Raw genomic sequence first — 11,670 nt, 5'->3', positions numbered from 1 at the left:
CATAAGCCACATCTAGCCCTAGTTGTCAATTAAGATCCAATTACAGAAAGGGATGCCTCAAATGTAACATGAATCTTGTGTATAGGAAATTCAAGGAGAAAAAAATATATTTTAAATGAAATCAATGTCTTTGTAGAGAATTCTAGAGAGCTGAGGAATGACAACTGGATACAGATATTAGCAATGTCAAGACAAGAACACAGTTACACCAGTGCTTGCAATCGCTGGCTTGTGGGGAGCATCCCACCTTGAGGTTTTCAGAAGCTGCTCCCCACTGACACAGACTTAATAGGCGTCATGAAGAAAAGGATGCAGCTTTTCAGCAGTGCTCAGATCACATGTGACAGCCATAATTGAGTAAGCAAACGGGGTGCTGAGAAGAGGGTAATGGGCCATGCAGACAGAAGAAGAGCTGAGAAGATCCTTAGAGGTGATTCTCACTGACAGCAATGTGAAACTGGTAGGTGTACATTGAGCTCCAAACATTCTCCCAATGCAGAGATGAAAGTTATTATCATCTTGACAGGTCTGCAAACCATGGCCACTGTCCAAATGCCATAACACACAAAGAAATAGAAATTAGATTATAAATTTCCTCTTTTAGGCACACCAAAGGAATTGGAATAGTTGGTAGAACTGGGAGCAAACAAGATACTTTAATTAGATTACAACATGTGAAATTGTTAACTCACTGGCCAGCCCTAGGACTCAGAAATTTTGGAAAAGAATTACAAAATTGATACTCTGAGTAAACACAATTTTGTGATCTCCCTAAATTTCATCCTCTAAGCTCTCTCTTCATCTTTGGTTTTTAGCCCATTAACTTAACTCTTGTCTACTTCACAGAGGCAATAAAGACACGAGATCCCAAGGTAGAGTAGCCCTCAATGGGGCTTACTGAAAACAGGGCATTCTATTCAAATGGGCAAATTTAAGCTTCTTTTAATCTCAAGAACTGGGTGAGAAAATCAGAGGAATGCAGATATGGTTTCACTTCTGAGCCATGATGCTGAGAAATGCTCTACAACCAAAGCACTGGATATAGTATGTACTTTGGCTAAGCTGCCACCAGGTGAATGGTATTACTTATTTAAATTCTTGTAATCTAATCAGAATGACTTCCTATAAACATAATTTATAGATTCAAAGAAAATACAGTCTAATATCCCAAATTACCAATAATGTTTCTATAAAACTATGTATTAGAATAAATACATAAATATTAATTACCACTAACAAAATTTGTTTGCCTACACACACATACACACACAGAGTAAAAGCAAAAGTTCCCAATTTTTTGGTGTATGGTACCCTTATTGTTTCAGTAATTTTTTCACAGCACTCCTAGACCCAAAGAAATGTCTAATAATTATATTTATTAACTAGTTAGAAATCACCAAAAACTCAGCTTTATAAAGACACAATATCAGCAAAAAGAACGTAGCATGATCAGTGAGGAAACTGTGAACTATCTCAAGCTTCATTATGACCAAAAGGTATCGAGGGTTGCTGTGTTTCGCTGGAAAATGTAAAACGTCCCACAGCCCTCCTGTGAGTTTGCTGCAGCATGCCAGGGTGCCTTGGCACACTGTTCAGAAACCACTGGATTAAGACAAATCTGGGAACTATTCTGTGTCTATTCTCCCATCCCAGTTAAGTTACAGAATAGCCAGTATTTTAATGTTTTCATTCTTGGCTCAGTCTAAAATTGATCGTTCTCTTAACTTTAATGAACAAAACAAAACTTGAAATTGATTTTACTTTGAGGCTTCAAAGAGAATCAATGGTTCTCAGTACTATCTGTTTAAGCCTCTTTCTTCTTCAGCGGGAAGGTCTCAATGGCCTTCACACAACTTATCTAGGAAAATGCGCACTTGTCCTTTGTAAGGTCACAATTAATAGTCTTCATTTTTCCCCAGAAGCAAAACTGAAAAAAAACAGATGCAGAATATTTCCTACATTCTGACTAGATTTCTTGACTGAAAAAATCTCATTGACCATCCTTGATTAATCAAGATATTTCTAAATTAATAATCTCTTACCACACAAGAAGCTTGTCATTCACGTGTAGTTTCATCATAGGTTTTAACACATGCTGTAAGATTTCAACTCTCACTTATAGGCGGAGATAATGGTTTCTTGATAGCCTTATGTTCTTCATCAAGTTAGGCCCTTGAAAAAATAATTTAATTAGAATATTTTTATAGGACTATGGTTCTTCACAAACATACAAGAAGTGTCATCTAACTAGAGAAGAATCTTGGATGCCTCGGAAGAAAAGCTAAGAGTGTGTGTCTGTGTGTGTGTGTGTGTATGTTTGTGTGTGCCTGTATGTCTGTCTCTATCATGCACTCATGACAGAGAGAGAGATAAAGAGGAGAAAGATAAAGATTCACATTCCTTAAAGGTATGTGAACATGAACATGTGACAATGTGAATTTGACAGAATGAGTGTAGACAGGCAGGGAGGAAGTGAGTAGGAGTCTACACTGAAAGGGTGGGCTAACCAACTGTGGTAGGCTATAGGGTTTTCTCAGATCACTGGCAGTTTTCAGATAGATCTAAAGCGATTCTATCAAATCATGTTAAACACCAATGATAACCAAGGACAAATTGCCACATTCCAAAAGCAATCAGAGTTGGCCTGCATTATCCTTCCTCCCCACATTCTTTGGAGGCTTATCACAACAGCAACCACATGCATTGTAAACAGTGTTACCCTTCAACTAGGCAACTGGCTTCTTCCCCTGCAGTAGTTTAAAACCACCCTCTGCTCCCACAGTCGGTAAGATGTTCTGCATTAACTTTGCACTGATCTCCTCTGAAGGCAAAAACAAGATCCTTTTGCATTAATGATTAGCAAAAATGCCAAAGGCAACAACTTTGACAAGGACCATACTACAAGCATAAGTTTGTGTTGACAGTTTCTCTTCAATGTAGTCACGAGGGCTCTGCCATCATCTATGAAACCTATCAGTGCACATAGACCACCAAATCATGCAACAAATCCTAAGAGTTTATTGGAAATAAATTACTGGATTATGTTTATTTAACCACTAACTTTAAAATCTGAAAAAAAAAAACCTGGGTAAAACTGTTAAATATGATATTCATTACATGCAGAAAGATATTTAAAATTGATGTGAAAACATGACTACATTGCAATTTAAACTTAAATTTCAATAAGTACCTAAATTTAAAAGCCCATAATAATTATAGGATGTGTAGCCTTAAATTAAACAAGACTACTCTTGAATTAAGTAAATGCTAATGTTGTACTATCCGCTAAGTAAATACTAATTAGTTGTCACAGCAATTTTTCTGAACCTTCTCACAGTATAGTAAGATATGTGTAATGTATATTATGTGAAGTAACCAAGGGTGGGGTCTGGAAGATGTAACAAGCAAAAATAAAGCCAGATGTCAGTAAAATGCTCCCTTTTACTATGTTTTGGAGCTCCATATGGGAGGGAATAATTACACTTTGGCAGTAAGAACCACCCAAAAAAACATATTTCTACTTTTTTATCATAATACATTTGGAACTTTCTAGAAATAGTAGCAGAAATATTATAATAAATCCCAGAAGTTTTAACATGTAAGTAGTCATGGCAATCCCCTTTTCCCTCTGGTGAATCTGAAAGATGACTTGAAGACTGGTGATATATCGAAACTTTCTTAAAAATTTTTTTTTCAAGGAATTTTCTAACCAGAGGATTGCAGACTTTAAAACAGTCATTATTGGTAAATATTTCTTTCCTAACCTCTCTGTTTCAATTGTTTCTCTGTAAAATGGACATAATAATAGTGCCAACCTCATAAGGTCCTCGCAAAGGCTAAATGAGTTAGTACACAGCTACAAACTCACATAGACAGAAGTGTCTCAGAATGTGAAGTTATTTCTCTTTTAGAGAGATAATACAGTACATCACCATATTATGTCCATTAAGGATAGTTTTTGCTACCAAGTGAGTTCAGGTCATGTCTGGTCTTGCTGCTAATTGAGCTTAAAACAAACATTTCTTGAATTTTAGAATCATGGATGAGGAATTCTAGTCCTGTATAGGTAGAACACTGAGCACTACATCTGGAATACAGTAAGAATTAAGCTTGTATTTTCTTTCTTTTTTTCTTTTCTTTTTTTTTTTTTTTTTTTTTTTGAGATGGAGTCTCACTCTTTTGCCCAGGCCAGAATGCAGTGGTGTGATCTCGACTTACTGCAACCTCCGCCTGCCAGGTTCAAGTGATTCTCCTGCCTCAGCCTCCCTAGTAGCTGGGATTACAGGCATGAGCCAACACGCCTGGCTAATTTTTGTATTGTTTAATAGAGACAGGGTTTCACCATGTTAGTGAGGCTGGTCATGCACTCCTGACCTCAAGTGATCCACCCGCCTAGGCCTCCCAAAGTGCCGAGATTATAGATGTGAGCCACCACACCTGGCCAGCGTGTATTTTCAATCATTATATTACAGTATTATTATTACCCAATTTGAAATTTGAGAAGATATTTTTCTTCCTTCCTTCCTTCCTTCCTTCCTTCCTGTCTTCCTCCTGCCCTTCCTCCCTCCCTTCCTTCCTCCCTTCTCTTTCTTTCAACAAATAACTAACAAGGGCATTTTATTTATAAAACACAATTCTATGTGACAAGATAATTTGGGTAGCGCTCACGTAAAATACAATCCCTTTTCCTGGTCCAAGGATCAGTAAGATTTCTACAATTATAACTTTTTTGTTGCTACATAAATTGTTTATCACCCCAAGCAAAAATTATAGCCATACTTTCTATAGCCATACTTAGCAGCTATCACACATATGTTTAAAAAGGCAATAATTGAATTAAATTATCAAGTAAATGTCAGCCAGTCTAATTGTGTCACTATAATTGTGGCCATAACTATGACTACCAAGGTTTTCTCTTATTACCACTTATAATAGGAAAAATGAAAAAACTTTAACAAATCTTTCATAAACCACTCTTAAAATGAATAACTAAACAATACACAGTTAAATCTCACTTCGACATTTTCCAAGGATCCCCTCCCCAAGAAAATGAGATTTCCAATGTAATTTCTAATTTAATAGAAGGACTGATAAAAGAAAAAAACGAACTGGGGTAATACCCTATCCTTATTCAAAAGAGTATTGATCAAAGCCAAATTCTTGTTAAATAATGTTTTACACTAAAGAGATGAAACTCTTCAAAGCATTCCCCATGAATTCCCTGAGAAAGTAACTTATGTTTGGTCCAAATCTTACAGGGGGAAAAAAAAAGCTCTTGGAGCAAAATGCTGAGTATTCCTTTCAACATAATGACAATCAATCATATCCCAGGGTCTCTTTAAATCCAATTCTAATGTCTAAATAGGACAGACTCTTCTACTGAAGGTGTTTTCACAGTTTTCCCAGTTGTTCAACTGCTGTATCTACATCCTTAGAATCTAACTAAAAGATGAAACTGAGGCTTTTATGCATTTATAACTAACTTTGCCTACTTTGAATATAATACCATAGAAAGCAGAGATAATATCTCTTACCTCCTAGAGTTATTGTATGAGTCAAATTTAATTTCAACAAACATTTACTTTCAACTTACTACTTGCCCAATAAAGATATATGAAAGGTTGTTGAACCTATGAAACAACATAAAATTATAACATTATTTACTCTTAATCTATTGCAAATCAAGAGAGAAAACAAGAAGTTGATCTAGAAAATCACATTTATACATTTCCTTTAAGTAGTGAACTTTGGTGGATTCATCTTTAAATTGTTTAATGAAAAACTTACAAGAGCCATTTATCAGTCATATTCTAAAAAGCCAGATACAGGCTATTTTGCATGCAATATATATATATTGGCCCTTATGGGATTTACATTATATTCTCTGTGATGGTTAAACCAATGAGACTTTGCTCTTTTCCTTAACCATCTGGGGGAGGCAGGAACAAAGGAGAATATTGATAAACCTGGAAATAGGGCCGGATAGTATCAGAGAAGGAAGCCTTTGGGAAGGTGAAGATGTGGTAGCCAGTACTCATGTTGTAAAAGGATACAACTCCAGCCTCAGAGTCCAGAAACACTCCCACAACCAAGGGCTGCTCACACATATGAAGGGAAGTTAAGGGAGATGTAAGGGCTACATAGCCTTTCTTTTGGCATAGTCCGAGGTTCCAGAATCCAGACTGAGGCTCTTGCTTCATGTCAGTGCACCTCTGCATATTGCCATACAAACTCCTAAATCCCACCTGGTTCGTTTTCCAGCATCCATTTTGAAGGAGCATCTTCCTGAGAGGTGAAGCCCTCACAACCCAGGACACAGGGGAAGGCACTAAATCTCCTGGAAGAAGTGCTGTGATGGTCCTGGGGATATCCACAAGTCACTTTTCTCCAATCCTCATACAGAATTAGTTCACTATGAGCTGTATCTGGATCCAGAGTCATGTTGACTGTAATCCCGGTACTGTAGGAGGCTAAGGCAGGTGGATCACTTGAGTGCGAGAGTTTGAAACCAGCCTGGGCAACATGACAAAACCCCATCTCTTGATGGCTCCTTAACATTTTCTTCACATTACAGGAAATAAAGCTCAAAAATGTTGCACATAGTATGAAGCTCTAAGGAGAAGGCCTCTGATGTTTCCAGCTTCACAGTCCAACTCCTGCCCACAGTATCATTCACATTCTGCAGCAATTTTTGGGCTGAGCCCCGACATTTTTCCTCCAGTTCCAGCATGTGGCTCTTGAATTCAGCCCCAGACTGGTCCCATGGTCCCTCAGTCTATTCAGAGTCTATCGTTCTTCCTTCTCCTGTCTCCAGGGATAAGACTTCTTCTCCTCATGTAGGAAACTCTGGAGATTCTTAAAGTCAAACGATTTTTTTGTCTCTGAATTTGTGTCTTCTCATGAGGAGATATAAAATTGCAATTTCCATTATTGCTGTCTAAATTCATGCAGTGAGAGTGTATAATCTGGGCAACTTAAATCTTTGCTTTTGAGTTGCAGTCCTCAAACTTGGCCGAAATAAACTCTGTACTTATTGTCCATTTAGTTATGTGCATTGCTGTGAACACCTTCTGCTCTGTGCACTCCTCTTCAAGTTGCCTCAATTTTGTCACAGCTTTCTGGAGCTTTTCCTTGTAGCCCTGGCATACGTCTTCAACAAGAGCTGTGGTGTGCCCTTTGTGCTGCGGTGCCCGCTCACAGTGCCAGCAGATGAGCTGCCCCTTGTCTTCACAGAACAGGTGGAGCTGTGCCTGGTATCCCAAGGTATCACTGAAGCAAGCTGCTGTGTTTAGTTCATTACTGAGTTGAATCAGATTTTGTCCTTGGGTTAGACTAGAATCATCCACTCCACTTGGTCTTCCAACTGCACTATTACTGCAACACATTCATACAATGGCATACTATGCTGCAATAGAAATGCACAAAACAAAACAACATGATATGGCACATGTGATAAATCCAACAAAAAATGTTAAACAAAATGGCAAGTTGTAAAATACATTCAGTATATTACATATATGTAGTTTAAAATATGCAGAATAAAGTCTTATGTTTTATATAGAAATACACATGTAGAGTAAAAGTAAAAATATATAAATAGGAATGATCAAGAGCGAATTCAGCAAGGTTACATCTCTGGAAAGGGAGACAGATAAATGACATTAGGGAAGAGACACAGAAGGTTTTAACCAAATCTAAAATAGTTTATTTCTTTAACATGAACAACTGATATGATTATGACAGAATGCTAAGAATTGTTCAAGCTATGTGTGGATGATCATAGACATATATTGTTTTAATTGTTATACTTTATGTTTGAATATTTCATAATTTTAATGCCAAAAAAAAAAAACAAATAGATGTGTGCCTGATAGGTGGAAAAAAGACAAAGAAGAGACCATGCAATATAAGGCTTTTCTCTTGGAAACTGTTCATGTACTACACACCACTCTGATCTTTTGGCAATCTCTCTAGCAGCAAAACAATGCCAAAATTATCTGAAGACTAAAAAAAAATTGTATAACACTGAACACTCAATATGACTCACAGTCTATGCTCTAATGCTCTCTTTTAATCATTTCTAAAATATTGTGTAAAATTACTGCTATTTTGCAGGTAAGGAAATCCAGATGCAAAGTAATCTGCACATGATCATGCAGCTGTGACAGAGCTGAGACTTAAATCCATACAGGTGTGGACCCAAAGCCCATTCTCTTTTGTCAATACTGTATTGGGAAACCATAAAAACCAGACAGAAGAGGAAGGAAGCCACGCGAAGTTCTGTCAGAGAAGCAGTTAGGGACATAGCTGAGGTAGAGTCTGCTAGAAGCCATTATAGGTAGAGAAATTCTTTTAAAATATGAGATCTGAGCCACGCTTCAAATAATATCTTATTACTGACTTAAAAGCAGAAAGTGGAACATGGGTGAGGAAAGTTTAAAAAGGAGTGCGAAATCATGGCAGAAAAGGTCCATTTTCTTGGAGCATGAATGGAGAGTGAGAATTATAAAAAAGAGAAAACAGACAAAAGAGAGAATAGTCCTCATGGAAAATTAAAGGAAAGAGATCCAAATCAGAAATTAAGTGATAGAAAACAGATGAAGACTATTACAATATAAAAATAAGGAGAGCAGAAGAATCAAGCATTAGCTTCTGAAATTCGAATTATTCCAAACTGTTAAGGCAGAAAGAGGAGCTGAATCATCTGATTTCAAAGGTAGGAAAACTGGAACAAATGATTAAATTGAGGGAGAAATGGGGAGCAGAATTGTGGTTTGTTTATTTTTGGAGGTTAAATGGAAGCCTCTTTTGAAATGTTTTAAAAGCATCTGATTCCACATAATGAACTTTGAAAAGTGGAACAGGGAAAAGAATTCTGCTTCTGTTTTCCCTGAGCCTTCTGCAAGTACTTAGGTGGGTGTGTTTGGGTGGAAACATGAGCTTTTTGTTGAACACCCTCTGATTCTCCCCCTCCCACCTGAAATCCTAAAGCTGTGTTTATGACAACACAATCATTTCTACAGTAACTAAAAAGCTGTCAGCAAAAGAGGATTATTGCTTAAGTTGAGAAATAAGCAACTAAAAAACTCTCAAACCACAAAGCACAGGCTCCCATGCCAATATTCAAGTGACAAAGCCAAAGTAATGCAAATACGGAAAATGTTATGTGCTGGACAACCCCAACTGACCTTCTGGAAACTGGTCTTTAAACTTCATGGAACGATTTCAACAGAGTAACCCAATAGTGTCAGACTTTGATATATTTTGCTGACTCCTCGAACACTAATTTTTCAGTGGGTATCTAAACTCAATATATGGCCTCTGGTTTGTAAACCATTCCCACCCCTGTGCCATATTCAGAATTCAAACTGAGCCATTTGGATTCTGTGATAAGAATTATGAATAACTGGTTGGGCGTGGTGGCTCACGCCTGTAATCCCAGCACTTTGGGAGGCCGAGGTGGGTGGATCACCTGATGTCGGGGGTTCAAGACCAGCCTGGCCAATGTGATGAAACCCTGTGTCTACTAAAAATATAAAAATTAGCTGGGTGTGGTGGCACGTGAGTGTAATCCTAGCTATTTGGGAGGCTAAGGCACCTTCCGGGTTCATTCGCTTGAACCCGGGAGGTGGAGGGTGCAGTGATCTGAGATCATGCCACTGCACTCCAGCCTGGGCACAACAGAGTGAGACTCCATCTCAAAAAAAAAGAAAAGAAAACAAAAAAATTACAAATTCCTTGTGAAGGTTTGAAATGGCCCAAACTCCATCAAAAAATACATCTTTATTTTTTGAAAATTGAACTATCCGTTCAATGAATGTTGCCTAAGAGCTCCAGGAAAAAACCATCATGTATTGCCATTGTAGGAAAGATATGAGACCATCTACCAGTGCAGCAGTAGAAAGGCTACCACATGGTCTTCTGCAGTGAGCTCACTTTCCTTCTCTTTGCTAATTTGATTTCAGAGTGCTTCACCCTTCTCTTTTTCCCATGTGTTGCTACCAACAGAGAAGAGTTTTAATATTGTTGACAACAAATTATTTATATGCTTAACAGGTTATAGTATAAGAAAAATATCTTTTCAGTAAGTATGCTAGTACATGTTAAGGAAAAATGTAATTGGAAAAGAAATGTTATCTACCTTAAGCAAATATTCATTCTAAATAAAAGGAAACTATACATTTCCTCCTTTACATTTTTTGCTGCTAAAGCATGTCTTAGACCCTGTATTTCAATCAGCCAGAGAGCAAGTCATAAGTTGATATGGAACAGGACTGGTATCATGAAAGGAACTTACTTTCAACAACTATGTTTCTGGAGAATTAAAATTATCAAGGAACTTTTAAAAGAATTCTTGTGTCATTATTTACATAATTATAAAATAAATATGAAATTTAGGATTTTTCTAATGCTGAATAGATGCAATCATAGTAAAACCTGCAAAATGTTGGCATTTCCCGTTCTTCAAGTTTTGGTAACTTAGAGAACTTTAAGTCTGTTGAGACACTAGTGTGCATTTCATGATGGAGAAGGCTCCTTACTCGTATTAATGAGTTAAGGGGCTTCTTTTGATGCTTCCTTTGAAAGTAGCTACAGAAAGAGGTAGTGTGATTGTTTTAAGAAAAGCTAGAATCTGTTCTAACCCTAGCTATTTTTACAAGCCAGGTGACCTTGGCTAAATGAATCAGTCCTCAGAGTCTTCATCAGCAAAGCAGGAACAACTGTGGAAATCCAATGAAATCCTCAGGCATACCTATCTGCATATGTGTGTATACCTCGCCTCCAAAGCATTGGTGTGTATATGTGTGTGTGGAAAATAAATCTAGAAATTGTGACAATGTGACAGTGCCAAGACAGAAAAAGTCAGAAGGTCGGCACGTGGAAATTTATGCTAAAATGTATGCAAAGCAATGGCTAGAAGGGACAAACAGTAAGATGGTAAGATTCCAAGAAACCAAAGCCAAGACAGAAACAGGAAAAATTGTAGGATTTGTGGTATCTGTAAAAACAAATCACTTACTAAATGGAGACCCAATATTTTCTGATTCTGAAATTTCAGAGAAATTTCTCTAATGGGAGCTCAAAAAAGTGTACTCTGTATAAGTAAAAATTACAATGTCCTTCCAACTATTTCTTTACATCCGTAACACAATGAATTACACATGGCTGTTTATTGTCATGAATCTGACTATCATCTTACATAAGGATTACAAGTCATAGGTTGACAGAAGCAACTTTTTGGTGTATCAGAAAAAAAGTGGCTGGGCACGGTGGCTCACGCCTGTAATCCCAGCACTTTGGGAGGCTGAGGTGGGTGGATCACAAGGTCAGGAGTTTGAGACCAGCCTGGCCAATATGGTGAAACCTGGTCTGTACTAAAAATACAAAAATTATCTGGGCTTGGTGGTGCATGCCTGTAATCCAGCTGCTCAGGAGGCTGAGGCAGAAGAATCGCTTGAATCCAGGAGGCAAGGTTGCAGTGAACCGAGATCATGCCACTGCACTCCAGCCTGGGCAACAGAGTGAGACTCAAAAAAAAGAAAAAGAAAAAAAAGAAAGAAAAAGACACAAGACACTGGCGCGGTGGCTTACGCCTGTAATCCCAGCACTTTGGGAGGCTGAGGCGGGTGTATCACAAGGTCAAGAGATGGAGACCAGCCTGGTGAACTT

The 11,670-nt window shown here is 37.7% G+C and overlaps 1 long non-coding RNA gene and 1 pseudogene across 1 annotated transcript; one reads left to right on the top strand and one right to left on the bottom strand.

The window, feature by feature from the left end:
- LOC646995 (tripartite motif-containing protein 38-like) lies at positions 5,858-7,247 on the bottom strand (annotated as a pseudogene).
- On the top strand, positions 9,124-10,833 carry LOC124900806 (uncharacterized). Its single transcript, XR_007058355.1, has 2 exons — positions 9,124-9,293; positions 10,666-10,833. It is a non-coding gene; the product is annotated as an uncharacterized LOC124900806 (long non-coding RNA).
- Positions 10,834-11,670: the final 837 nt, after the last annotated feature.

Source organism: Homo sapiens, chromosome 4, assembly GCF_000001405.40.
Source record: "Homo sapiens chromosome 4, GRCh38.p14 Primary Assembly".
Lineage (NCBI taxonomy): Eukaryota > Metazoa > Chordata > Mammalia > Primates > Hominidae > Homo > Homo sapiens.
The sequence above is the reverse complement of the archived record's forward strand: the minus strand, read 5'-3'. Positions and strand labels throughout refer to the sequence as shown.